This window comes from Homo sapiens, chromosome 21, assembly GCF_000001405.40.
Source record: "Homo sapiens chromosome 21, GRCh38.p14 Primary Assembly".
Classification (NCBI taxonomy): domain Eukaryota; kingdom Metazoa; phylum Chordata; class Mammalia; order Primates; family Hominidae; genus Homo; species Homo sapiens.
This window is the reverse complement of record NC_000021.9, coordinates 45,048,822-45,076,540: the sequence shown is the minus strand read 5'-3', so window position 1 is coordinate 45,076,540 and position 27,719 is coordinate 45,048,822. Positions and strand designations below refer to the sequence as shown.

At 51.8% G+C, this 27,719-nt stretch overlaps 1 protein-coding gene, 1 long non-coding RNA gene and 1 pseudogene across 13 annotated transcripts in view, besides 7 other annotated features; 2 read left to right on the top strand and 1 right to left on the bottom strand.

Annotated features, from left to right (window-relative positions):
- The window catches only part of ADARB1 (adenosine deaminase RNA specific B1), a 151,986-nt gene extending 150,023 nt beyond the window's left edge, over nt 1-1,963 (bottom strand). For 8 of the 11 annotated variants that reach the window (NR_073200.2, NR_027674.2, NR_144483.2 and 5 more), the window contains exon 1: nt 1,748-1,961. The gene's annotated coding sequence lies outside the window, so the exon portion shown is untranslated. Of the gene's footprint in view, nt 1-1,442; nt 1,491-1,747 lie in introns of those variants that run through there. The other 3 variants (NR_027673.1, XM_017028251.2, NM_001346688.2) reach the window with 2 other exon arrangements.
- Nucleotides 2,008-2,207: a silencer, noted in NCBI's record as "silent region_13399". NCBI's record gives its function as "represses an Ori minimal core promoter by ATAC-STARR-seq in GM12878 lymphoblastoid cells {active_cell/tissue: GM12878}" and the evidence as "EXISTENCE:reporter gene assay evidence [ECO:0000049][PMID:35858748]".
- Nucleotides 2,228-2,317: a silencer, noted in NCBI's record as "silent region_13398". NCBI's record gives its function as "represses an Ori minimal core promoter by ATAC-STARR-seq in GM12878 lymphoblastoid cells {active_cell/tissue: GM12878}" and the evidence as "EXISTENCE:reporter gene assay evidence [ECO:0000049][PMID:35858748]".
- Nucleotides 2,800-27,135, top strand: LOC105372836 (uncharacterized). The gene is made up of 5 exons (XR_937796.3): nt 2,800-3,068; nt 7,445-7,636; nt 15,805-15,978; nt 18,292-18,363; nt 20,303-27,135. It is a non-coding gene; the product is annotated as an uncharacterized LOC105372836 (long non-coding RNA).
- SSR4P1 (signal sequence receptor subunit 4 pseudogene 1) lies at nt 3,330-5,586 on the top strand (annotated as a pseudogene). The gene has a single exon (NR_027292.2). The product of NR_027292.2 is annotated as a signal sequence receptor subunit 4 pseudogene 1 (transcript).
- Nucleotides 10,940-11,773: an enhancer, noted in NCBI's record as "H3K27ac-H3K4me1 hESC enhancer chr21:46484683-46485516 (GRCh37/hg19 assembly coordinates)". NCBI's record gives its function as "activates a minimal SCP1, AML or CMV promoter by ChIP-STARR-seq in naive H9 embryonic stem cells {active_cell/tissue: H9 hESC(naive)}" and the evidence as "EXISTENCE:reporter gene assay evidence [ECO:0000049][PMID:30033119]".
- Nucleotides 24,056-24,687: an enhancer, noted in NCBI's record as "H3K4me1 hESC enhancer chr21:46471769-46472400 (GRCh37/hg19 assembly coordinates)". NCBI's record gives its function as "activates a minimal SCP1, AML or CMV promoter by ChIP-STARR-seq in primed H9 embryonic stem cells {active_cell/tissue: H9 hESC(primed)}" and the evidence as "EXISTENCE:reporter gene assay evidence [ECO:0000049][PMID:30033119]".
- Nucleotides 24,688-25,321: an enhancer, noted in NCBI's record as "H3K4me1 hESC enhancer chr21:46471135-46471768 (GRCh37/hg19 assembly coordinates)". NCBI's record gives its function as "activates a minimal SCP1, AML or CMV promoter by ChIP-STARR-seq in naive and primed H9 embryonic stem cells {active_cell/tissue: H9 hESC(naive and primed)}" and the evidence as "EXISTENCE:reporter gene assay evidence [ECO:0000049][PMID:30033119]".
- Nucleotides 24,688-26,456: a biological region, named in NCBI's record as "BRD4-independent group 4 enhancer GRCh37_chr21:46470000-46471199".
- Nucleotides 25,257-26,456: an enhancer, noted in NCBI's record as "BRD4-independent group 4 enhancer chr21:46470000-46471199 (GRCh37/hg19 assembly coordinates)". NCBI's record gives its function as "activates an origin of replication core promoter dependent on BRD2, P300/CBP, MED14 and CDK7 cofactors, and independent of BRD4, by STARR-seq in HCT116 cells {active_cell/tissue: HCT116}" and the evidence as "EXISTENCE:reporter gene assay evidence [ECO:0000049][PMID:35650434]".
- Nucleotides 27,136-27,719: the final 584 nt, after the last annotated feature.

The following is a 27,719-nucleotide window of genomic DNA, read 5'->3' as shown; positions in this document are numbered from 1 at the left end:
AAGCCCCTGTCCCTGCAGGAGGGCCTCCTTTTTTCCTTTCCAACTACAGCTTCAAATGTGATGTAGATGTAGTGGGATATACCCAGTCTTAGGAACCCTCAGACATCTAACAGGGCATCACTCACAGACAATGCATTCCTTTCAGAGTCTGTGTGAGTTCATCCTCTCCACCACAGGCAAGATATAGGCACCCAGCTCAGCCTGTCTCATCAAATACTTACCGAGCCCCCGTTGTGGCTGTCCATGCATACTGGACCCTGTCCTCCGGAGGAACCGCGCAATGAGAGACAGTTAATTCTCTTATCCAAGAAGGAACTGTATCAGCCAAGCTTTTATCCTTTCTTCCTTCTCCCTTTCCCCTCTGGGAAACCCTCAGCAGGCAAAAAGGATACAGCAGTCTCAACCCCAAGGAAAAGATGGTCATCAAAAGACAATTAGCTTTTCTATCTCCTAGAAACAACTGCTCTTAAGACAACCTAGCGTTTTGGAAAATGCAGCTCTGGGTGGCACCTTTCGAAGCAATAAAACATACGGCAAAATTTAAGAGGAAACAAAGAGGATTAAATACATATTTGTATTCTCAATTAAAAAAACTACGGTTCTATCATCTTAATTATGGAGTTAAACGTTAAAGAAACAAGTTTGATATCATGCCACTTTTCGTTATACTTCGAGAACGGAATGCAATAATGGTTAGTAAGAAGGAAGTAAAATGCCTGTATCAGAAGTAACAGCCCAAACCTGCTGACCAAAAATATTAACTGGGAACTAAACACCACGGTGCAGATCTCCGACATAGAAACCTGGACAGGAACACGTTTTAGGTTAGGTTTTCCAGCGTGTAAATCGGGACTCCAACACGTTTCAGCGTCCACAGCCCAATCTGACACCTTCCCTCGCACCCATCCACCACGCAATAATTTTCCTTCTGATGTGAACACGTCAAAAGTCACCTCGGGCCCCCAACTGCCCCAGATTGCTCCCGATCGCTGCAGACGCCCGGCACCCGCAGGAACTTCCCTGGCCCGGGCCGCCCGCGGCGCAGAGCATCCCGCGCGGACACTGCGCCCTCGGAAGGACACGCAGGACCGTCCAGGGCGCAGACTCGTCCCCAACGCAGTCTCCACTCCCGTGGCACAGCGTCCCCTCCCAAGGCAGCCTCCCCTGCCCGGGCCCAGCCTCATCCCGGGCGCAGCCTGCCGTCCCCCGGCGCAGCGTCCCATGCCGGGCGGAGCGTCTCCCCAGGGACATAGCCTACCGTCCCCAGGCGCAGCCTTGTTGCCAACGCAGCCTCCCGTTCCCCGGCGCAACCTTGTACCCGGGGCAGCCTCTGGTCCCCGGGCGCAGCCTCGTCCCCAGCGCAGCCTCCGATCTCCAGGGCACACCGTCCCCTCCCCAAAACGCAGTCTCGGTCCCCAGGGCGCAGCCTCGTCCCGGCGCACCTGCCCTCCCCGCGGCGCAGCGCGGCGCATCCCACGCGGACTCGGCGCCCTCGGGAGGGGACGCGGGGCCGCCCGGGCGCAGCTTCCTCCGGGAGCCGAGCGCCGGAGCAGACGGGCGACCCAGGAGGGTGGGTGCGAGGCGGTGCCGCGGCACCCTCGCTTCTCCGCGGGCGCCCTCCGCTCCCGGGACGGCCCGCAGCTCCGGCCCCACCACCAGTCCCTGCCCGGCGCTTACATAAACGCCGCCACCGCGGGGTCCGGAGCCCGCGCCCGCCCGAGCCGCCGCGGCCCCGCGCCGCCCTCACCTCAGCCGCAGCCGCGCCGCGCCTGGTCCTCCGCACGCGCGCCCCACGCTTCGGCCGCAGTCTCGCGCCGGGCGGCGCTCTGCCTCGTTGGTTGTGCGCAGCGGCGCGGCGTGGCCGTGGCCTCGCGCGGCCCGGAGCCCCGGCCGCCAACCTGGCCGCTTGGCCGCCGCTGCCGCCGCCGCCGCCGCCGCCGCCACGGCCGCCTCAGCGCCTCAGCCCCGCCGCCGGCGGCTCCGCCCCCTCCCCGCCCCCGCCGGCCCGCCGGGCGCGCGCACGCCGAGGGGGCGGGGGCGGCGCAGCGACGCCGGACGTGCGCGCGCTGGGGCGCCCGTGTCTGTCGTGGGCAGCCGGAGCTGTGGCACCTCCCTCACGACCACCTGCGGCGGACGGGCGCGGGGCCGTTGGGGCTGGAGCGCGGCCGGAGCTGAGAGACCGCGGCTGGGCGGCTCCGGAGCGTGGGGCGAGAGCGCGGGACCGGCCTGGCGTCGCGGCGCCGCCCGCCCGAGCGCGGCTGAGGAGACTCTGCCCGCCTTCGTTTTGGGGACGGGGTCTCACTGTCGCCCAGACTGGAGCGCGGTGGACCTCCGAGCTCACGCGATCCTGCCGCCTCAGCCTCCCTGGTAGCTGGGACCGCAGGCGCCCGGCGATTGGCGTTTGCGTTTTGCGGAGGTGGCGTCTCGCGGTGCTGCCCAGGCTCCCGGGCCCCCGCGCTCCTCCCTGCAGCGGGCGCTGCCCCCGCCGAGCCCCCGCCGAGCCCCCGCCGAGCCCCCGCCGAGCCCCCGCCGAGCCCCCGCCGAGCCCCCGCCGAGCCACCCCTGCTTCTCCCTCTCCCGGAGTTGCCTGGGACACGCGGGTCCCGCCGGCCCCCTCTCCCCGCCCGTCATCCTCACTGTAGACTCCGGGAGAACCAGGTCGCGGCCCAGGACCCTGGCTGGACACGGTTCCCGCCGTCTCCTGTTTAGTCCGCACTGACACTAGCAGCTGCTCCAGTTACCAACGTTTAGGTGATGGTGGTTTTGTTTGATTTTTTTTGTTTGTTTGTTTGTTTTAGGTTGATAGTAAAAGCATTTTTTTATAGCATATGCAATAGACCTACTCTTCGATTTATCTATATTTACTGACTGTTCCACAGTTATACCAAGAAATGTTTACACAGATGATGATAAGCATATGTAGAAATGCAACGTTTTCACTGACCGGAATAACCAGCTCCAGGCTGCAGTTCTCTGCACGAAGATAAAGTTTGATAGGCAAACTTGGCAGCTCCTGACCGCGGCGACCTGAGCCCAGAGGAGCAGCCGGGGGCGGTGGGCAGAGCCAGGTGTGGACAAGCGGGTGGGTCCCGCACCTGGGTGGGGGAAGCGGCAGGTTCCAGGGTCAAATTGAGGTTGTACTAGCCCTGGCCTCCAAACCTCAGGCGGCCCACTCTGCCCTCGGCCTCTTTCCTCCCTTGTAAAGTGGGGAGTAAGAGACCATCGCAAGCCAGGGATGGGGTGGCGCACACTGTGATCTCAGCCAGTCTGGAGGCTGGGGCTGGGCGGTGGGGGGGTGCGGGTCGCTTGTGTCTCAGAGCTGGAGCTGTGGTGTGCGAGGCCGAGGTCCGCGCCTATAAATGGCCGCTGCGCTCTGGCCCGGGCAACACTGAGACTCCGACTCTGGAAAACAACAAAACTTAAAAGACGAACACAGATGGAAGTTTGGGAGCCTGGTATGCGGTAAGCACTCCGCAGGTGTCAGCCGCCAGCCCGCAGTCCCGGACAGGTCAGGGGAAGGCCCGCGGTATGCAGCAGGCTGCCGGCTTCAGTCACTGCCTGGTGGAAAACAAGCCTGTCTTTGGGGCCAGCCAGCTAACAAGTGAGCCCTTCACCCCATCTGAAGGCGAAGCACCCAAAGGGGCAACCGTGGACGGCTAAATAAAAATCAAGACTCCTGGGACGCCTTCTCGGGACACATTCTTAAAGAGATACGTGCCTGAGGACGTTGTGTGTATTTCTGTGTAACAGGCCACCCCAAACCTCAGAGGGCGAAAACCTCTCTTCACTGCTCATGACTCTGTGGGCCTGCAGCTTAAGCCGGTTCAGCTGGGACGGCTTGCCTCGGCTCCATGGGGTGTCTGCTGGGCCCACTTACAGGCAGGCGCCCCGGGCAGATCCGGGCCACATGTCACCCACCCACCGCAGGCTGGCCGGGCCTCCCTCCCGTGGTGGCTGGGCTCCGTCGGCAGCAAGAAAAAGCAAATCCCCATGGTGCTTCCCTCCATCTCCCCAGGAGGGTGAGATGGCCGGGGCCTGAGTGGACGTGAGGCACCGCACAGGGGACGGGCACGGCAAGCATGGTTCATCGGGGCTGTCACTGCAGAAGTCTTCCACAGGCCTTCGCTGAGGTGCGGGTTGGTGTGGGGAATACAAGGGAACTCCCCAGAATGGAGGCTGCTTGTGCAAGTTTCAACTTGTCCTTTTTCTCCCTCCAGAGCAGCAGAGAGCGGATGGCGCCCAAGGCCGGGACCCTCTGCTGCTCCCACAGGCCTCTCAGGCGGCTCTGCAGGACCAGCCAGCAGCCTCTGATGCTCCCTTCCTATTCCATGGCTTCAGGTGCCATCCTCTCCACAGAGACGGTTTCTATTGTGACGCTCTCCCTGACTTGGAAGAATGGCACTGGGAACATTCCCCTTGGTGCTGATGTCGGGGAGGAAAGCAGTTTCCAGTCGCCTGGGGCCAGGACATGGCGTTCCCAGCTGTTGTAGAGCATGAAGCACCAGGATGCCCATTCGGGTGCCTGCTGAGATCAGGCTCTTTGAGAAGGAATCCTGTGGTCGCCTGAGGAAGTCCAAAAAAATTTCGAGGACATCTCAGCCATCCATCCCCTGTTCACTGTGGAGGTTGAACACCGGGGCTCCTGGAGGGGGGCCCTGGGTCTCCACAGAAGTGCTGGCAGCCACCATCCACTTCCTGGCCTTCCGTGCCCGCTCCACCTCTGTTCTGTTGTTTACTGTCTCCTTTGTGGGAATTATGGAATAAACAATCACTCTGGTGTCCTGGAAAATAAACCTGATGCTGGAGGGCTTGAGTGTAGGAATCCAGCTGGGCTCCCACTGTCTGCCCCAGGGTGCGGAGTTAGGCTTTGCATAAGCATGTGAGATGCCAACCGCTATGAAATGTGGTCTACACAGCACCAAAAATCCATTTCCCACGTTTTCCCTTCAGTGCAGTTAAATGGCATGACCCTGTGACTGTCTCCCACGAGAAGAACTAAAAATTACGCTGGTCCTGCCAATGCCTACAGGATACGGTGGCACAAAATGATTTCCACGGTCTTAGGATATAGACCCAGGCCGACTCGAGAGATTAAGTGGATTTCAAACTGTGGTCTTGAGCCTTCTGGGAACTGCCCGAAAGGAGGGGAAGGCGCCAGCCTCGGAGTGGTCCAGCTGCCCGGCCTGTTCACACACTGGCCTTTCAGTTGAAGACAGTGTTCAAAGCTTACCCGTGTAAATGCCACTGATCTGTGAACCCCCTTCCTGTCATGCCCAGGGCCTGGCAGACTGTGGCTAGAACGGTGGGATCAGAGCAGTGGGTCACGTGACCTGCGCACGGGTGTGCTGGCCTCCCTGGGCCGCGGTGGCCAGGACAGCCTTCCTTTCCCTTTCCAGCCACACAGGGCAATCCGTGTGCTCAGATTTCTGTCTCATCAATTACAGAGCGAGCTGCCAACCTGCTGTGCTGAGACTGTGGCCTGGTCTTGGTCCTGGTGTCCTAGGGCTGATGACTGACCACAGCCTTTGTGCTTTTGAAGCCTATTTGACTATAGTCCTTGTGTGCAACTAAAAATGTAGCTTTAAACAATCTTGCTTTGTTTTAATTCTGCCCAATCTATTTGAGAAAGGACACTCACAGGTACTTTTTAGATTGTAGCCTAAAGTGGATTATTGATTTCCTTGTTTCTCAAACGTCAGGAGGAGCATAAAACTGCTAATAAGAGGTGACCAATATTCGGTGATACCGTGATTTGAGACATAATATTTTTTGCCCTATATTTTAAAAATAAAATAAGAAGACATGAGACTGGAGTGGCAAAAACCAGATGTTGCCAAACCATTCAGTCAGCAGCTGCCATGGTGGTGGATACCATGTGTGAGACCTGCCCAGCTCACAATGTGCCACTGTCTCTAGGACAACTCCCAACTCCCACAGTGACACAGCAGGAACAGTCTGTCTGTGCTCTGTGACAGGCACACAGCACACCCCCCCACAACCCACTCCAGGACCTCAGGCGGGATTCTGACTCCCAGGATGGCCCTGGGTGCTTAGAGCTAGCATTGAGACAATCGTGAGTCTCTCTTTGTGCCTAGGCCTGAAGGGTTCAAATCCAGCACAATTAGGATGGTCTCCATCACTGGCCAGCCTGAAGAGAGAAAACTGGGGTAGACACACAGGGGCAGGAGAGAGAGGACGAACTGATGGCCTTTCAGCGCCGTAGGCAGTGTCACGTGCATAGGTCAACACGTGGCCAGGAAGATGTCTTTGCTTCAGGGCGTTCATGTTCTAGTGGGGAGATGGTGTCAGGGAGCAGTGCAGTGTGTTACCTGAGACACCGTCCAGGGCAGGAACAGAGGCGTGACAGTCAGTGCGGACCTGGCTGTGCCATGCAGCACTGGCCAAGTTGTTTGGCCTGTCTGAGCCTGTTCTGCATCCAGAAGAGGGAGACGATGGGTGGAAAAGCTCCAGTGGTGATGTACAAATGCAGGCTCCTAATGAAGAGGAGTGTGAACGGTTGCAGGAGTCCAGGGCACTGCAGCTGCACCGCTCAGGAGTGTCAGAGCAAGCTGCAGGAAGCTGCACTGAGCCTTGGAGGATGAGAAGGCACTGACGGCGGGAATGCCTGTGGCAGAGGAAAAATGCAGGAAGCTGCATTGAGCCTTGGAGGATGAGAAGGCATTGACAGCAGGAGTGCCTGTGGCAGAGGAAAAAGCACTTCCATGGCACATGAAGTCAGAGAAGAGAGGAGGCTTCTGCCACCATTGGTCAGAAGAGTCCTCCTGGTCAGGCCACTTTGCACTCTGTAGAGACCAGGGAAAGGGAATGTGCTGCGTGGTTAAGTCAGAGGTGGGCAGGCTGAGCCTGGGCCCAGTGGTGTCCAGTCAACAGCTAAGAATGAACATTAAACATGTAAAGTGTTGGGGTGGGTGGGGGCTTATGAAGAATAGATGCAGTGGGCTTATGTGGCCGGTAGAGCCATAGATCTTTGCCATCTGGCCCTTTGCAGAGAAAGGCAATCCCTGGTTTAGCCAAGTAGGGCCTAGCTCTGGAACTGGGAGGTGGAGCAGCTGCCATCGAAGTGCATAGACTGTCTGGGGGTGGGAGAAACACAACCCAAATCAGCACCCCGGTGAGGGGACGGAGGCTCTGACTTACCCGGCGGTGTCTGCCTAGAGCTCAGGCATGCCTGCGGCTTCCATGCAGAAGACCTTCATCAGGTGTTGACAGTGGAAATGGAAAGAGTTAAGAGGCTTTTGGAATTAGACTCAACAGGACTTAGTGATAGAGTCACTAGAGGGGTCTGGGGAGGAGAAGCATCAGGGCTTACCCAGGATCCTGGCTTGCACATATTGGCGGGTGATGGTGCTCTGGGATGACACGGGGGATGGGGGGACGAAACCAGGCATTCCTTTTGGGTGCGTTAAGTTTGCGATGCCTACAGGATGTCTGAGTGGCTGTGTTGGGAAGATAGCTACGTACAAAAGACTGATGTCCGGAGAGGAGAGCCGTGCTGGAGACGGACACTTGAAACCCTTGAAAATGGAAGACGTCACCGATCCCCTAAAGAGAGAATGGAGAAAGGAAAGAAGGGAACCTGGCTCCAGACCCGAAGAGCCTCAGCCTAGCATTAGAGGTGAGCATAGAGAGAGAAGGGAGTGTGGGAGGCGGGAAGGCCCAGCGAGGCAGGAGAGAAAAGACGGAAGCGTGTTTCTCTGGAGGCCAAGGCAGGGGGACTGCTTGAGGCCAGGGGTTGGAGGCTTCAGTGAGCTAATACCTCACACAGGTTGTATTCTTTTGTGTCTTGATTATTTCACTTGATCATGTATAAAGAGAGGAAAGGGAGACATAAATATGGTTATGTAGGCAGATAATTTTAAATCTACAGCCAAAGTCTTAGATCTAATTAAAATTCAGCAAGATTATTGGGTATAAAATTGGCACACATGCACACACCCCCAAAATGATTTCTATATATCGGCAGCAAACAACGTGTAATTTGGAAGATGATACTGTTCAACAGTAACAAAAGTATGAACTAAAAATAGATTTAAAAAAAAGTACATGATCCTTAAGGAGAAACTCATTTTTAAAAATTATTAAAAGAGCAAGCGAATATAGAGACACACCAAACACCTCAAATTCTTTGTGGGATGAGTATAAATATATAAAGCAAACAAAATTAGCAGCTTCACCAACTTCTTTTGAATGATACTAGATTTTTAAAATAAATCAGATGCAAAAACAGTATGGCTCCTGGTAACATACTACTCTAAAATAATGGACTAGAGCCAGGAAAAGGAGATTTTTTTTTCTATTTTGCCGAGTTATGTCTTAATTATTATGTTAGCAGTCTTTCCTGAGAAGCTAAAAGGTAATTAGCAACTGAAGCCAGGCAAGAGTGGGGAGGAGGGAGGGCGCGGGCAGGCCGCGCTCTGCTGAATCTCCAGGAGCTGTTCTGGAGGGGATGGAGGCTGGAGGCTGAGCCTAAGTACAGTTGGGTTAGTGACAAATTAGATGGCTCATGTGGTTATTTAAAGCCTTCTCTCTAGGAAACTTTCAACTACCATATATTCAAGATCTTGCAGTTGATAGTTTTAAACTGGAATCTCAGGGACTCGGGCTGACTGTCACCTATACAAGCTACTCAGGGATACAGCAGCCATGAACGGTGGTGTGAAAAGTGGCCATCATCATGTATTTTCAAACTTTTTTGAGATATAATACATACACCAAAAAGTATCCATATCATAAATGTACATCTCAACACATTAGCCCAAAGTGGACACAGCTGTGAAACCTCCACCAGGGCGAGCAGCGGAACGTGACCAACTCGGAGTGTCCGGCGTGCCCCTCCATAGCCACAGCTGCCTCTGGGCCTTAAAGATAAGCTCTACCCTGACTCCTACCTCCGCAGATTGGTTATGCCTGTTTTTGCTTCACATAAGTGACATCACACAGAATGTATTCTTTCGTGTCTTGATTCTTCCACTTGACGCTGTGTTCATGAGATCCATCAACCTGTGCCTCTGTGAACCTTCTCTTACACCTCTCAGCGCACGTGTGTATGTTTCTGTTGGGTTGTGTACCAGGTCACAGGAGACACATAGGTCCACTCCAGAGGGGACACTGATTTTCCAACGTGTTGAGCCATTTTATACTCCTACCAGCAGGCGAGGAGCTTTCTGGCTGCTTCTTGTCCACATCAACAGCTGGTGTTGACACTTTGTCCACCCTGGAGGGTGGTGGTAGTTCCTCACAGTGGCTTTAATCTGTAGTTCACTAATGACCAGTGAGGTTGAGCATCTTTACATGTTCTTGTTTTCCACATGCACATCCTTTCTGGTGAAGAAGCCACAAGTTTTCTTTATTATTTATTTGTAGAAGTTATTTATATATTCTAGACCCAAACTCTTGGCAAGCTATATGTGTTGCAAATACCTTCTCTCACCCTGTGTCTTGCATTTCCATAATCACAGTGGAGTCTTTTGTTATACAGGAGTTCTTAATTTCAATGTGATCCAATTTATCTACCGTTTTTTTCTACGGTTAGGGTTTTTTTGTTTCCTGTTTAGAAAACTCAACTACTCCATGGTCATGAAGGAATGCTTCTGTTATCTTCTGGAAGGTTTATTGTTTCAATTTTCAAATTTAGAGGACAATTCACCAGGAATTGTTTTTCTGTACAATGTGAGGTAGGGGTTCAGAGTCAGTCCATAACTGTTGTCTGTGTTTGGTGCCCAGTTGACCTAGCACCATTTACTGACATGATTTCCCTTCTCCCTGCTGCTCTGCTGCAGTAGCTTTGTTGTGAATTCAGCATCCATATAGGCATGGGTTGTTGCTTTTTTCTGAACTATTTTGTTAGGTGCTGAGGACTGGCCTTGAACTGCTGTTTCCTGTCCTAATTACTGAAGCTTTCTCATGAGTCTTCTTTTGACACCGTAGAATCACCTTGCAGTTTTTCTGTTTTTCAAAATTTTCTTGGTTATACTTGGTATTTTGCATTTCCATTTAAATCTTTGAATTGGCTTATAAATTTCCTCAAAATATTCTGCTAGAATTTTTATTAGAATTTCATTGAAGCTATAGATCAATTTGGCGAGAACGGATATTCTCACAATATTGAGTGCTCCAGTTCACGTTTAGCCCTACATTGATTTAAATATTCTCCAGTTGCTCTCATTATCTTCTAGTCTTCTGTGTAGATATTACATACATAGTCCATTAGATTTATTCGCAGACATTTGGTGCATTGGATGATCATTTAAAATGTTCCCTATTTTTATTTTCTGACCACTGGTTTCTGGTTTATTTAGAATGCAGTTGATCTTTGTGTATTGACCTTGTACCAGCAGTCTTTCCAGATTCACTTAATAATTTCAATAGTTATCTGTAGATTCTATTGGGTTTCTTATATACGTATCATTTTGTTTGTGAATAATGACTTTTTCATTTTTTCCTTTCTGATCATTTTATCCTTTATTGCTTTCTTCTTGGCTTACCTCACCAGCTGCTGCTGAAAAGAAGTGTTAGTGGTGAGCATCCTTATTTTTTTCCTGACCTCAGGGGGGACGCTTTCAATATTTCACTAATAAGTGTGAGATCTGTGGTAGGATTTTTAAATATAGATGCCCCCGATGAGATCAAGGAAGCTCACTTCTATCTCCACTTTGCTAAGAGTTTCTTTTCCTGAATGCATGCTGAGTTTTATCACATTCTTTCTTCTGCATTTATTGAGATGATAGTATGATTTTTCTGCTTCATTACATTAATATGATGAATTAAGTTGATTAAAGTTTAAATGTTATACCAACCTTGCATTTCTGGAAAAAGCCCAACTTGGAAAAAGCCCGGGAGATACCCCAGGATCCTTCTAGCAAATCCCCCTCTCTGCTTGCCCACCCCCTTGCTTCAAGGACAAGGAGTGGAAGAAACAAGGAAAATGGTGAAGAAGCCCAGACCTCAGGGCTCCACCTGGCCCTGCTGAGGCCTAAGGCATGGGGGGGGGGGTACTTTTGTGGCTTGACTTGGGGGTAGTGGGGGTCTCCTGTGGCCTGGGTGGTTGGGAGTCTGTGGCCTGGGTACGGGGCATTGCTGACTGCTGTGACCTGGCCCCCCTCCCCAACTGCGTCCTGGCCATGGGGGGCTGCTGTGGCCTGGCCCTGCCTAGCAGATGAGAGGCTTCGGGCCTCATTTTCTATTGAGTGCATGGAAGCAGCTCTGGTTGATGTAAGACCAGGTCACTTACTGGACATTGGTCCCTTCCTTGGGCTTCAGTCTCATCAGAGAAGTTATCTGTAAAGTCATGAGTCAACAAAATATGCCTCAAGCAAACCGTGTAAAAAGAAAGTATAAACTAAGCATTAAATATTCCATCAGCCACAGAAATGTGAGGCACTGTTCCCGCCTGCACTGAGGTTCAGAGGCTCGCCCCTCCCCAGCACCCTCCACCGTGCGGTGCAGTGCTCAGTGTTTGCCAGCAGCCTAGGGTCTTCGAGGAGAAAAGTCTCTGCCGTCCTGTGCGGGCCACCGTGGAGATTGGTGATGGAGCTATTCATCAGTTCTTCGGCCAGTCTCTTTTCAGGGGCAAGGGTCTCCCGCCGGTCATCAACGCCTCAGGGGACGGAGGGGAGGGAGAGCACATCTGGAGGGGTGCAACCCCAGATGGCCCCACGAGAACCAGGAGGGACCCTGGTGGCCGCAGGAGTTCAGGCCCAGGAACAGGTCCCAGGCTCCCTCTTGTCCTGGCTCCTTCCCGGACCTCCTGGGAACACAGCACACATTCCAGAGAGATGAGAGCAGTCATAGTCTATGCGGGTTTGCTTGAATGGCATACAAGTATAAGCCCACCTATTTTTGTTTTCTAGAATTCCACTTCTATTTTTGGTGGAATATGAAAGTTTGACTATTTCCCAAAGTGGAAAAACACATGTTTTTCCTTGACTGTCTGGTAATGTCTTTGTTGCTCATTAAATAAGTGCATGCAGTCTCCATGGGCGCTTGGTGAACCCCCTTCCCGATCCCCTGAGCATGAGCTGGTTGTGTGCACCATACCCAGAGCCTTTCTCAAGCCCTCCTGCGTTTTATTTATTAAAGCTTCAGCACTTCACACATATCGCAGTGGGTAGATCTGAATAAGGGCATCAGATATGCCCACCACTCTGCAGCTAAGGACTCCAGGGAAGCCTCTCCATGAGGATTCCAGTGCTTAGGCCCCAGGCCCCGCCCCTCATGTATCTGTAAAACACAACAGAAGGAGGGGGAGGGAGAGGAAGAAGAAGGGTGGGAGGGTAGGAGGAAGGGGAGGGGCACTTCCACCCCTTCCACTGCCTGAAGGATGTGTGCGGTGGACACTGGGGTGACTATGGAAGGGGCGCGCTCACCTGAGCTCACTCCCACCAGCATATTAGCCTCCGTTACAACAACTAATTCTTTCGGTATTTTGTGACGGGGTTTCACTCCGTTGCCCAGGCTGGAGTGCAGTGGCACAACCATGGCTCACTGGGGACTCCACCTCCCCACTCAAGCAATCCTCCCACCCCAGCCTCTGCAGTAGCTTGAGACCACAGGTGTGCAACACCACACCCAGCTAATTTTTTCATTTTTACTTTTTGTAGAGACAGGGTCTCCCTATGTTGCCCAGGCTGGTGTCAAACTCCTGGGTTTAAGTGATCTTCCCACCTTGGCCTCCCAAGGTATTGGGATTACAGGTGTGAGCCACTGCACCAGGGCTTAGTGGGTCTATTTCTTGACTCTTTATTCTGTTCCATTGATCTATTTGTTTTGCTTCCCACAGACACCACATTGTCTTGCATCCTATAGCTTAAGGAAAAGAAGCTGGTGTCATTCCTGTAGGCTGTGTGCAGGATTGTTTGCCCCCTTCCAAGTTCTTTGCCTTTCCATTAAACTTTTAGGATCAGCTGGTCAATTTCTACAACAAAGCCTGCTGGAATTTCTATTAGAATAATATTGATATTTCAGGAAGTATGGACAGCTTCCTAGTACTGAATCCTCCAATCCATGATCATGGTATACCTCTCTGTCTTGGTCCATTCTGGTAGCTATAACAAAGCATCTTTGACTGGATGGCTTATAAACAACAGAAATCTATTTCTTGCAGTTCTGGAGGTTGGAAAGTCCAAGGTCAAGGTGTCTGGTGAAGGCTCAGGCTCCCCAGCCTCTGGCTGCAGAACTTATACCCTTTGCCTGTTGTTCTCAGGCCTTTGGTTTGACTGAGGGTTTTATCATCAGTTTCCCTGGTTCGGGGGCTTTTGGACTTGGACTGAGCAACACTGCCAGCATCCCTGGCTCTCCAGCTTGTGGACAGCTTGTAGTGGGACTCCTCAGCCTCCACAATTGATGGTGCCTTCTTGCTATGGCCTCATGTAACAGAAGGAACTAGATAGTTCTCTGCAGTGTCTTTTTTTTTTTCCTTTGAGATGGAGTCTTGCTCTGTTACCCGGGCTGGAGTGCAGTGGTGCGATCTCGGCTCACTGCAACCTCTGCCTCCAAGGTTCAAGCGATTCTCTTGCCTCAGCCTCCCAAGTAGCTGGGATTACAGGTGCCCACCAACACGCCCAGCTAATTTTTTGTATTTTTAGTAGAGACGGGGTTTCACTATGTTGGCCAGGCTGGTCTCAAACTCCTGACCTCGTGATCTGCCCGCCTCGGCCTCCCAAAGTGCTGGGATTACAGATGTGAGCCACTGTGCCCAGCCTACAGTGTCTTTTATAAGGAAATTAATCCCATCATGAGGACTCCACCCTTATGACCACACCACCTCCCAAAAGGCCTCACCTCCAAAAACCATCACCTTGGGAGTCAGAACTTCAACATATGAGTTTTAGGGGGACAGAAACATTTAGACCATAACACTCACAATTTGTTTAGGTTGTCTTTAATTTCTCCCAGCTGTGTTTTGCAGTTTTCAGGGTAAAGGTCCTGCACATCTGTGTTAGGTTTCTCCAGAGAAACGGAACCAATAGGATGGGTGGATAGATGGGTAGATGGAGAGAGGGAGAGACAGAGAGACAGACAGGCAGACAGGTAGATAGACAGTTGAGAGGGGATTTATTAGGGGAATTGATTCACATGACTGTGGGGCCTGAGGAGTCCCACTACAGGCCATCTGCAAGCTAGAGACCCTAGGGTGCTGGGAGTGTGGCTCGGTCCAAGTCTAAAAGCCCCAGAGCCAGGCAACCTGATGGTAGAAGTCTCAGTTCAAGGTCAAAGGCCTGGGAACCCAGAGGCAGGGGATGAAAGCCCTGGCACCAAAGGCTAGGGAGGCTGGCCTTGTTGTCCAAGGGCAGGAGAGGATGAGTGTGTCCCAGCTCCAGCAGGGAGCTCCATACATTCACCTTTTCTCTGTCTCTGTTCTCTCCAGGGCCCCAACAACTGGATGGTGCTGTCCACACTGAGGGCGAATCTCACCCACTAGTCCACTCAGACTCACACTAATCTCCTCTGGAAACACCTCACAGACACACCCCAAAATAACGCTTTATCAAGTTTCTAGGTATTTCTTAATCCAGTCAAGTTGACACCTAAAATGAACCATCACAAAAACTTTCCGTTAAATTCATTCCTAAATATTGTGTTTTTTATTGCTAGTCTGAGTGGTATTTTAAATTTTAATTTTCCAGTTGTTTCTTGCTAATGTATAGGAAAGCAATGGATCTGGTAATTGATTGTATACCCTTTGGCCTTGCTGTATTCACTTACTAATTCTAGTGCTTTTTTGTAGCTTCTTTGGGATTTTCTGCATCTACATTTATAATCATATTGGTTATGAATCTACACAGATTTGCTTTTTCCTCTTCAATCTGTATGTCATTTGTTTCTTCTTCTTGCCTTATTGCATTGGCTGGGATCTGTGATACAGTTTTATAGAGAGCATTTGCTGTGCCCACATGGCAGAGTACATAGAAGGGTGACACCAGGAGGTAAGCTCAGAGGTCCCAAAAACTAAGCATAGTACAGTCATCCCCTCTTATCTGTGGGGAATATGTTTCAAGACACCTACTTGGTGCCTGAAGCTGCAGACAGACAGATAGATAGATGGATAGATTATAGACAGACAGACAGACAGACAGACAGACAGACAGACAGATAGATAAAGAGGGGATTTATTAGGGGAATTGGTTCACATGATTGTGGGGCCTGAGAAGTCCCACACAGGCCATCTGCAAGCTAGAGACACTAGGGTGCTGGTAGTGTGGCTCAGTATAAGTCCAAAAGCCCCAAACCAGGGAAGCCAATGGTAGAACTCTCTCTCCAAGGTCAAAGACCTTGGGAACCCAGAGGCAGGGGGAGAAACCCAGGTTGTACAGAACACTATATGTACCATGTCTCTTTTATCTGACTGCCAAGAGGGCTGCTAAGTGACTAACAGCGGGTAGCGTAGACAGCGTGAATATGCTGAACAAAGGGACAATTCACATCCTGTGCAGGACAGAGCAGGACGGTGCAAGATTTCCGTGTGCTCCTCACAGGGTGTGCAATTTAAAACATGTGAATGGTTTATTTCTGGACCCTTCCGGTTTATAATTTTAAAATGCAATTGACTGTGGGTAGTTGAAATCACAGACAGTGAAACTGAGGATGGTGGAGGCTACTGTACATGATTTTCAGGTCCTGCCGACTTCTCTAGTTTCATTAAAGAGCAAACTCTGGCAGGATATGTCATATTTGTATAATACTTGAGAGCTGGGCTGGCTACATAATTTGCAGGGTGCACTGAAAAATGAAAATGAGACTGCTTCTTCATGAAACATGAAAAACGTTCTTTCCTTTTTTCCAAAGTCTGTCTCTGTTTGTGCTCCTCCCTCCATCGCCCTCCCCTGCCCTCTCAATCTGTCACAGTGATTTTTACGTGCCATTTACTGCCGTGCTCCCTTGAGCATGGGAATACCTGCAAGACAAGGAGGGGCCTTCACAGGCAGAGGCGTCAGGGTCAGAACCGTGGAGTGGCCTCGGGTGAGTCAAGGCTGCGAGCCCCATTACTCCATTGCCCCACAGGGCTTCTCTTTCAAAGCACACATTCAATAATAAAATTGTTAAAATATCAAGATAACAACTACAGAGCACTCAAAATGCAAACACCGTCCTCCCGAGCATGGAACCCTCTTGAGAACAAGTCCTCCTGAGCACTGAGTCCTCCTGAGCACTGAGCCCTCCAGAGCAGAGAGTCCTCCTGAGCAGAGAGCCCTCCTGAGCATGGGGTCCTCCTGGGGGTCTCCTGAGTGGCTCCCAATCATACACCTGCCTCGCACACACCAGTGCCAAGGGCCTGCGTGCTTGGTGCCCTGCCAGGTGTCTGGGGCCCGGCTGCTATCTCGCACTCACAGCCTCACATTCACTTTTGATGGGCCAGGCGTTTAGCAGGTGAAACTGCGGCTCTGAGAGCTCAGAGAGCTTCTTTCACAGTAGCAGCTGCTCCCACAAGGGGTGGATTCTTCCCTCTGTAAGAGGGCAGCGGAGATTGTAAATTCTAACAGTGGTGGGGTGGTGAGCAGTCTTTGCTTTAGTAATGGACACATGTATTCTGTATTCACTTTCATGGTCAGATGTTTTCTTAAGCTAATCTTAAACTGATTAAGAATGGTAAGGTGTGGCCAGGGGTGGTGGCTCACACCTGTAATTCCAGCACTTTGGGAGACCGAGGTGGGTAGATCACGAGGTCAGGAGATTGAGACCATCCTGGCTAACACAGTGAAATGCTGTCTCCACTAAAAATACAAAAAAAAAAAAAAATTAGCCTGGCGTGGTGGCGGGCGCCTGTAGTCCCAGCTACTCGGGAGGCTGAGGCAGAAGAATGGCGTGAACCCAGGAGGTGGAGCTTGCAGTGAGCCAAGATCGCGCCACTGCACTCCAGCCTGGGCAACAGAGCGAGACTCCATCTCAAAAAAAAGAATGGTAAGGTGTGGGTCACACCCTAGGGAGAGACAGTGGGCCCGGTGGCTGGGACAGCAGCTGGGACAAGCCATTCAATCACCCAGGGTGGCAGATTCGTCACAGACGTGAGAGGTGCTGTGGTCAGGCAAGACTTCTGCTTGGCCAGGTCAGGGAGGACTTCCTGAAGGAGACGACATTCTTACAGGACCAGTAGTCATTCCCCAGGTCCAGAAGAGGCCTGGGGGAGAGCCTGTGCCCAGCGGGCAGGAAAGTGATGTGGACCCCAGCCAGGAGAGCCCAGGGAGCCAGTGCCTGTCACTCGGGTGCCTCAGGGCTTCCTGGAAGGGAGGGCCTGGCATGGCAGGGGCCAGGGGCCAGTGAGGGCAGGGGAGGGACTGGGGAGGAGAGCAGAGGAAGACAGGTGCAGCCAGATGGGAGGGTCCTGAATGCCACTTCTGATTCTGCCTCCCTCCCACCACTTACCAACCTGCAAAATCCTCCATGATCTTTTCTTTCCTTTTTTTTTTGAGACAGGATCTCACTCTGTTGCCCAGGCTGGTGTACAGTGGCGCCATTTCGGCTCACTGCAACCTCCGCCTCCCAGGTTCGAGTGACTCTCCCACCTCAGCCTCCTGAGTAGCTGGGACTACAGGTTCGCACCACCACGCCTGGCTAATTTTTGGATTTTTTTGGTAGAGACGGGGTTTCACCATGTTGGCCAGGCTGGTCTCAAACTCCTGATCTCAAGTGATCCGCCCATCTTGGCTTCCCAAAGTGCTGAGATTACAAGTGTGAGCCACCGCACCCGGCCAAGCTTCTGTGTTCTAATCAACCCTGATTAAAAGCTCACTCCCTTGTCCCCCTCCTCACTAGCCGCCACTGCCCCAGCACCCCTCCCCATTCCATGTCCCCATCCCCCACACCCTTCCCCCTCCCTGCCTCCCACTCCCCCACACCTCTCCCCTTCCCTGCCCCTCACTCTCCACACCATCCCTCCAACTCCCTCCCTCCACTTCCCCCACACTCCCCCCTCTCCCTATCCCCACTCCTCCACACCCCTCCCCACTCTGCCCCCACTGCCCACACACCTCCCCTCCCTGCCCCCACTCCCCTCCCCACTCTGCGACCCCCTCCTCCACACCCCTCCCCCTCCCTGAGCCCCACTCCCCCCACCACCCTCCTTCCTCCACGCCACTGCCCCACACCCCTCCCCCTCCCTGCCCCTCATGGCCATCTTCCTGAAGGGCAGCACCCTCTAGACTTTCTGGAACTTCGCTTTGTCCACCTGCCTGTGTGTCCAAAAACCTCTCAGACCGGTGGACACCCCCAGCTCATCCAACCCCCTCCTGTATGTGGATGCTCAGATTGTCGCTCGTGTTTTGCAATTACAAACAGTGCTGCAGAGGAAGGATGTCAACCACGGGCGTCTTCGTTTTGGAAATTGGAGACATCTTCCCAGGGTCAAAGGTAAGTGTGCATGTCATTTTGTTCCGTGTTGCCAACGCCCCTCTGGGAGAGCTGTACCCAGTGGCATCCCCGCCAGGGACTGGGACCTGCTTCCCACAGCCCAGCGGACGGATGCGCGGTCTCGTGGATGAGAGGTAGTGCCTGGCCTTGGTTGAAGTTTGCGTTCTCTAAGGATGAGTGAGTAGACAGGTTTCAAGTGTTTAAGGCTCATTTTAATCTTTTGGGGGAACTGTCTCTTTATGTCCTTTTTCTGTTTGTCTCTCTGATTTATGGTCCTTTGTCCTCAATTTGTACGAGTTCTTCATTTATTAAGGATGTTGAGGCTGGGCACAGTGGCTCATGCCTGTAATCCCAGCACTTTGGGAGGCCGAGGTGGGTGGATTGCTTGAGGTCAGGAGTTCGAGACCAGCCTGACCAACATGGTGAAACTCCGTCTCTACTAAAAATACAAAAAAATTAGCCGGACGTGGTGGCGCACGCCTGTAATCCTGTAATCCCAGCTACTCAGGAGGCTGAGGCAGGAGAATCACTTGAACCTGGGAGGCAGAGGTTGTAGTGAGCCGAGATTGCGCCACTGCACTCCAGTTTATGTGATGGAGCGAGACTTTGTCTCAAAAAAAAAAAAAGAAAGAAAAGAAAAAAGGACATTGGTCCTTCATCTGTGGCTTATGTTGCAAATATTTTCTCCTAGTTTTTCAGTTGTCTTTGTGGTGTTTTCTTTTGGCTGTGCAATATATTTTTCCTTTTTTATGCCCATATTTACCAATCTTTTCTTTTCTTTGAGTCATGGTTAGAGAGTCTATCCCTGCACCCAGATGACAGAAGAATGCACTCATGTCCTCTTCCAGGACTTGTCTGAGCTCCCGTTTCACATGTGGGTTCCCAAGCCACTGGAAGTGTATTTTTGTGTGTGGCGTGAGGCAGACCTCTCATCTTTTCTCCAAGCCTATCCGGCGTGCCCCTTACCCTGTTATTCAGAGTCCACTTGTGCTCCAGAGGTTTGAGGCACCCCCTTTATCTCATGCTGACCTCCCAGGTGCACGGGCCTCCTTCTGGGCTTCCTGTCCACCCTGTGTCTGTCTGTCCGGCACGACCCGCTGGAGGACGCCGTACTGTCAGCAGGGCTGAGGCTGTCAGGAAAGGGGTACAGGCGGCGGAACTAGGCTTTCTTTTTCAGGGGTTCCTGGCTATCCTTGAGGGATAAGTGTTTCTTGGGATAAGATTCATTTATGTGAAGTTTAGCAGTCCTTCAGTTTTACTCCATTTCTTTTTCTTCTGTTAAATTCAAGGAAAATCCTAAACTTTGCATCTCCTCAACGATCAGCTTGCGTGTTCTGTCCATGTCTTGCACAGGGCCCAGACTCACCCAACATGAATGAGGGGCGTTTCTGGGCAAGGAGTCTGGCAGTGACATTCGTGGTTTGTTGTTGCTTTCTTTTTTGTAACTTTGGGTATTGTTTGCCTCTTGACAGTATGCATGCATTCTTCCTGTGAGGAAACCAAGTCATTATTCCAGAGCGGAATTTTTCCAGGAAGGAGCCAAGCGCTCAGATGGCTCTGGCTAGGGGAGGGGATGAAGTAAATCGCAGTCTGCAAATTAGAGCTCAGTGCATTAATATTTCCTAAAAATATCTCTCATTTGCATCTCCTACGAGCAAATGTTTTGCGGAAAAACCGTCTTTATTTCGGGATCTCTGGAGTGGCGGCGGCGTCACTCCGCCGCCGGCGAGTGGCCTACATCTTCTCCTTCTGTTCCAGCTCATTCTCTCCTTCCACGAATACAAGACGCTGGAAGGTGCAGGAAGAGAGAGGAATGGTGACAAACGGAGCAGTCTCTGTCCCACGTGTCAGCTTTGGGGTTTTGTCTCCCTTTTTATCATAAAGAGATGTTTTTGTGTGTTTCTTTCTCATGGCTAATTTGAGATTCTGGTTATTTAAGGAGCCCAGAGATGGAAGCCAGATGACTCAACTCCGGATTGGGGAGGGATTTCCTTAAAAGACCTCTCAGTTTGTGGGAGCACAGACCAACATGACCGTGTACCATACATGCTCATCACGCCTGGCTACCCTGATGTTCTCAGACTCCCAGCCGCTCTGCAGAAAGTGGAGGCTAAACAAAATCATCTTCCCTCCCACCGTGGCTCTTGTTCAATAAAACCAACAGAAGCCACAGGCTGACAGCATCTGGTTAAGGGAGGGAGGGACCTGAACGGCTGCGGCGTGGTGACCGCTGCACCCGTAACACGGGTTGCTGGCTGCGCCTGCGGAGCGTGGCAGTGTCTGGCCCCGTCCTTGCGCTTGTAACCTGAAGTCAGGCCTCTATGCTCTGGGACTCTTCTTTTTTTTTTTTTTTTATCATTATACTTTAAGTTCTAGGGTACATGTGCACAACGTGCAGGTTAGTTACATATGTATACATGTGCCATGCTGGTGCGCTGCACCCATTAACTCGTCATTTAGCACTAGGTATATCTCCTAATGCTATCCCTCCTCCCTCCCCCCACCCCACAACAGTCCCCGGTGTGTGATGTTCCCCTTCCTGTGTCCATGTGTTCTCATTGTTCAATTCCCACCTATGAGTGAGAACATGCGGTGCTCTGGGACTCTTCTTAAGATGAGCTCTTCAACTCTGCGGCAGCTGCCTTTTCTGGCGCTGCGGGCCCCGCCACACTGGCCGGTCCCTCCACATCACGCCTCCTCCTGGATCTTTGAGAGGCTCCGGACGCCCATGACAGTCACCTGCTGTGGTTGGGAGGGGCATTCTCAGGAGCAGTCCTGAGAGTTCCTGAGAGTTCCGGGTGGGCCTGAAGGCGCGGGGGCTCAGAGCTGCGCTTTCCTTGCCGGCGTGGTCCTTCCGTGCACTCCCCGGCGCCAGCTGACTGCGTGGGTGTGGAAGGGAGGCCTGTGGTGGCCTTTGGAGGCTGGTGCTTCCCTGCCGGACTACCTAGCAAGTCTGTTCTTGGAATTGTCCATCCCGAAGCCTCCTGCGTGGACTGCACCCTCAGCAGAACCCGCAGGCTGCGGCGTGGCGCCCGGGCTCACAGTGCCCCGCTGTGTGCTCCAGCTCTCCCCTGGCCACATTACATGAAGTGGGAAGGTGGGCTCCAGTTCTCCCCTGGCCACATTACATGAAGTCTCAGACCCTCCCGCAGGGCCACCCTGAGCTCCGACACGCCAGGGCCGAGTTCCACGCTGCTGCCAAGCACTCAGCCTGCGGGCGCTGTGTCAGCCGGTGTGTCGAGGAGGCTCACACGGCTTCATTTCTGAGAGTGTGTTATGTTCTACTCATAAAAGGCAACGCAGTGGGGGCAAAATCCTGGGGCCATGGCTGTTTCCCTCCCAGCGGGAGTGGGGCCCTGTGTTCCAGAAGGTCGTTTTCTTAGGAGCTCAAGGTCGGCCTATGAATGGACTTCCTAGGCTTCCCCTCCCTGCTCCGCCGCCTTTGACACTCCAGATGGTCGGCTGGGGCAGCTCAGGGCGCCCCGTCCGTCTCCTGTGGCTCGGGCAGAGCTGTCCCTCGTTGTCTGATGCTGGTATCTTGACACCTCTTGTTTCATGTGGTTTTTCTCTTTTGATTTGTTTGGTTTTTCAAGCAGAAGGTAAACATGGTTCCTGTTACTCCACCTTGGCTGGAAGCAAGTCTCCTGTTCAGATTGTCTTAGTTCCTTATTCTCTACTGTGAACAATCTCCTCAGACCCAGAGAGTTCCAAAAACCGAGGATACAGGCTCTCCTTGGCCTCCCCATGTCCCCATGGATACTAGGGTAATGTCCTTCTCTGCCTTAGAGCAGAGCATGGCCTGACGGGCTCAGTATAGGACCTGACATCTCCTGGACTGAGGCTGGCTTCCAGCTTAGATGACCGCCCACTAAATGGCCCCTGGGGCAGCCCGTCGCAAATTCTCATCCAAATAGCTCTGAAGACAGAGGGAAAAAAGGTGAAAATTCATTCCAACAGGAGGAGATCTGGCTGGCAACGTCTGGGGGCAAGTGTAGCACAAAGGAGTGCTAGTTGACTAAGTGGGTGAATGTGCTGAGTCCGAAGGGTGAGCTCTCTCCAGCATGATTTCCACCTCCTAGGTGTGGCATTCAGTACTGTTTACAAGCTGGGCAGAAACAAGCCCTGCAAGGCCCTGCCCCAACCCCTGCTCCCACCCAGCTCCCTGACCCCTGTTCCCACCCAGCTCTCTAGTGGCTGCTGCTCTCCGCGCTCCCATGCACTGCCCAGTGTACCTGCCCAGCCCATCACCCTCTCCTCCCTGTACCCAGCCCAGGCCACCTTATTTTCTTGGGGCCGTCTGCCTCTCTGACTTGAGCCACAGAGCTGCCATCCTAGGAGTCTGTGGTAAGGAGACCAGGCATGTGCCACCAGGTGGAAATGTCACAGCCTGACCCAGAGGCTGGCCCCAGAGTTTCACTTGGTGTCCGTCAGCTGCAGGCTGATCCCCTGGAGCCTCTTTCACTGACCACATGGCTCCGACCTGGCCAGGGCAGACTGTGGAAGGGAGGCCAGAGCGCTAAGCATCTGAAAATTCAGCCTGGGGAGGACCCTGTCTGTGTGGTCACCAGCCCAACCTCATGCCCCTTCTCAGCACCTCCCTCAGGCCCCAGGGTGCCCGCTGGCCAGTTTTCAGTGCAGAAACTCCTTAGAGAGTGGGGGGCATTTCTTAGGAAATGCCTACTCCAAACATTTGGATTGTGGGCTTATCTGTTTAGAAATTCTGAATAGGTTATAGTTGGCTCAAACATCAAAAAGTATAAAGAAACATACAGTGTCCAGTGTCCCTCCCCCAAGCTCCTCCTGCCTGGTTACTTTCTCATGTAAACCTATGTGCAAAACTGCAGCTGTGAGCAATCTTCTGTTTTTGGAAAGTGGTAGCAAGTTGATACCCACTGATCCTCACCTTGAATTTTTCAGCGCACAGCGTGTTCACGCAGATAGAACCAGCAAAACGTGATGCTAGACTGGCGTGGGGGCATGGGAGAAAGGCCCAGAGATGGTCCAAGGACCCGCCTGTGTGATGGCCAGCAGGTCTGTCCTGTCCTCTGATGAGCTTGGGAGGGAGAGCGGATGTCTGTTTCTGACTACGTTGGGGGTGCCTGTTAGCCAGCGAGGTGGAGGAGTCCTGTAGGTGGCTCGGTGTTGTGATGGTTACTTTCATGTATCACCTGGACAGGGCCAGAGGGTGCCTAGATATTTGGTCAAACATCACTTTGGGTATTTCCGTGAGGGTGTTTTTGGAAGAGATTAGCATTCAAATTGGCAGACTGAGGAAAGCAAGATGACCCTCCCCGTTGTGGTGGGCCACATCCAGTTGAGGACCTGAATTCAATTGAGGGTCCCCTGAGGACCCTGATGAAAGCAGAACTCATTCCTGCCAGCTCTGTGTGAGTGGAGCTCATGTTTATTTTTAAGAGACAGGGTCTCGCTCTGTCACCGAGGCTGGAGTGCAATGGTGCCATCATGGTTCACTGCAGCCTCCAACTTCTGGGCTCAAGCGATCCTCCCACCTCAGCCTCCTGACCAGCTAGGACTACAGACATATGCTACCACGCCCAGCTATTTTTTTTTTTTTAGAGATGGGATCTCACTATGTTGCCCAGGCTGGTCTCAAACTCCCAGGCTCAAGTGATCCTCCCGCCTCAGCCTCCCAAAGTGCTGGGATTACAGACGTGAGCCACTGTGCCCGGTGCAACCTAATGGCTTTTAAAGATGCCTGTGCTTACCTCAGCCAAGGGCCACGGTTGCACTGGAGTTCCTGGACACAGCCCTATCTGGTTACATGGCGGCTGCTTCAGGCTCCGGTCTGTTCCTGTGCTGGCTGCAGGGCCAAGCTGGCGTCTGAAGGACATTTCTTCATCGAATGGGCAGTCTCTGGAGGGTCCAATTTTCCTTCTAGGTTTTCCTTTCTTAGGACACTGTCCTTGCCAACCATTTCCTGCCACGGCTGGTGGTGGCCAAGTCCTCAGGGCCTCTCTGAATGCCCGGCTCCTGTTCCACTCACAATCCCCGGTGCAGGCCTCGCCTGGGAGCAGCGGCTTCTCAGAACATAAACCCCAGGGACGCTCTCAGGTGCCAGCTGTGTCTAGTGTGGCCTGTTTGGACCCCATGACTTGGAAAATTTTAAGAAGCACTTATAAACTATTAACCTGTGATTGTAGGTAATGAAACAACCAGAGGGCTTTATAAAATTAAGATCAAATTCTACCACAGAAGCATTTGAATTGGGCTCACTGCATGCCAGGCGCTGCTGTAAGCACTCTACCTGCATGTTCTCATTTGATCCTCAGCAACCCCAGGAGGCTGGCACGGTCACAGCTGCACTCATGGGCGAGCAGGTCTGTGAGCCAAGAGGTGGTGCCCCTCCCATGGCCACGCAGCGGTCGGGGGCCACACTGGTGGTTCCAGCCTGTCCCTGCTGCACCAGCAGGCACACTCGAGCCACAGGCCCACTGCCCCTCACATGCAGAGGGTAGCTGGTCTCCCCCAAGTCGGCTTGGCTTCTGACGATCGCTCTCGTGCTCCCTCCGGCCCTACCGTGGGGGCTTCATCTCACACAATGTCCAGAGTAAGGACCCAATGTTTACAGAGATGCGTGTGGAAAGCATGTCACAGTCAGAGTCCCAGGTACCCTCACGTCATTCCTGAGGGTACAGGAAGGAATCAGAACAAGAAGAAAAACCAACAGAAACAAAACAGTAACAACAAGCAAGCTACAAACCAAAGGCATATGCAGCGCACAAAGGGTTAACACCTTGACTGGTTCAAGAGCCAGAGATTAACATCACAAATAAAACTGCAAATTTAAAAAGATAACAAGATGCCATGTTTCATTATTGGATTAGCAAATACTAAAAAGAAAGCTATGCCCGGGGTGGGGGACGCTGGAGGACGTGGGGCCGGTCACTCACTCCCGCAGGATGCCCTGACGATGCCTGTCAGAAATCTTAAAAATGTGTGCAATGTCTTAAAATTTATCCTGTGGAGATAATAAGGGATACGCCCCCAGATAGATTCACAGCCTTTTTATAATAGCTGAGATCTGGACAACCTAAATGGCCAACACTACAGTATTACTCAATGACGTGTTTATTCAAACCATGGCATTCTACGCAGTATTAAAATGATCCAGCTCTTCACTTCCTGACCTTAAGAACTGCTAATGATATAATTGTTACATGAAAAAAACGTGCACAGTGCCTCGCGTGTCACGGGGTCAGATGTGCACAGCACAACGTGCGTGCGTAGTTTGGTCTGTCCACGTAGGTACAGGCATGAGTCATCACCTGTGTGATGTTTCTACGAGGGGCTTTTTCTTCTTTTTGCTTATTTTTCTTGTTTATATTTTTCTACAATGAATATGAGTAACCTATAGCAAAGTGTAAAACAGTGTGAGCAGTCTGTGTGCCATTTCCTCGACCTCTGCCCACTGGGAGCTGGGTCTGCAGCCTGGCTCCCGCCCCGTCCCCTGCCGAGCTCTGCTGAAGAGCAAAGCAGAATGTCCCTGAGGAGGGGGCCTCGCCAGCTCCTGCACTGGAGGAGCCTCTGAGTACATCGAACTGGAGTCTGAGCTGGTCACACAAGCCCCCGCTGAGCACCTGCCATGGGCTGGGACATCCTGGGGACGGAATGTTCTGGAACCACAGCAGTAGGTCAGATGGGAACTCTGGCACAGACGCCCCCTTTCCAGATTCTTGTCCAGATCCCAAGATGGATACAAAACATGGCAAGTATGAGCTGAGGCTTAGCAAAGCCACATAAATCCATCGCTGCTGCGAAAACAACTCGAATGACATGGTGTTGGGAACAAAAACCATACAAGAATTCCGCGTCTGGGAAGGGCCTTTCTAAAGTAGTTCTGGTTACAAAACAGAAGTGAGTATCATGAGGTGAACAGAAAAGGCAGAAATGTTAGTGAAATTTCAGGATACAGGAATGAAAGGAAGTCCTGTAACTTACTGAGTGGTTTAGGGAGGCCACCGTTATGACAGATAGATACGAACATGTGTCACGGCCCAAGTGTAAGAGAAGTGTGTTCATTTTTGGTGAGAGCAGGACAAGCAGGGCCTGGGTGGTGAAGCGGAGCTTGGGACATGGGAGGTTTGGGTGGGGGGAGTCTCTCCCCATGTGGCACCAAGGGGCCCAGGCTGAGGGAGCCTTCGCCATCTTCCTTCACAGGTGAATTTGAGGTCACCGGGGCTGCTCCCTGGCCCAGGCGGGGAGAGGCTGTGAGCCTCTCTGGAAGCAGGGGGAGCATTCCTCCTGCTCACGGTCCACTGGCTGGAGCCCAGCCAGGGCCCACCCAGCTGCAGCAGAGCCTGGATGGATCAAGGCGTGCCCAGGAACAAGAGAAGGGACACGTGTCGAAAGCAGAGAGCAGCATCGACCTGTGTTCATAGTTAACAGTTGACTATTTTGACACTTGAGAATGTTTCCTAGAATAAAAATGAGTAAGAAAAGGTTGAATTTGGCAAAGACATAAGGCATACATTCACGAGAGGTGCTCTCCTATGGACACAGCAGGTCACTTTAACTGCCTTAGAAATCTGGAAACAAGGAAATTCTGAGACCCACAAATCTGGCATTTATCAACCATCTTTTCTTTCAATGACAAATGTAGGTAGTATAATTATTTTATGAGCATACAGAGAAACATAACTTTAGACTCACAAATGACTGAAAAGTATTGATCTACGTGGTTCTTTTCAACCAAAATTAATGTAAATAATGTAAAAAAAAAAAGTTGAATTAAAGATTTATTTTCCAAAGAGATCTTTTGTAGCCGACATGGTGTATCTTTGAATGGCTTTTAATTTTTTTAAACAAAATTTCCTCTTTTTCTTCCAATGTGTTTTTTCTATTTTTTAAATGTTTTGATCCTCGTACAACTTGCTCTGACCATGCTTATTTTTCTAAGTTCTTGTGAAATCAAATGCTGTGTTTTCATTTTGTGCCCAAACAATGCGAACATTACCTTGACCAAGAAGTCTGCAGACTAATGTTCACCAGATGGGCTGGTGTCTGGCATTCTCTGCAGAACGTGTCCAAATCCTGCCCAGTTGGTCATGATACTTCCTAGAAACGGACTGGATGGGGGCGAGGTAGGGGAACCATCTGCCTCATGGTCCTTAACATCTAGAACTGGAGAGGATTCGAAGGAAGAAGAAAGCATCCCCCTCATCTGAGTTGCTTTGAAGGACATTAGATGCGAAATCCTAATCAGAAGGTGGTAAATTTAGCTTGCAAGCATGATAATTACTTTATTAGTTGATAATACTTTTCACCCAATATATGTTTAGTATGGAAAACCCCAAATAAGTTTTTAAACTGCGGCTATTGAATATGGAAATTCCCTT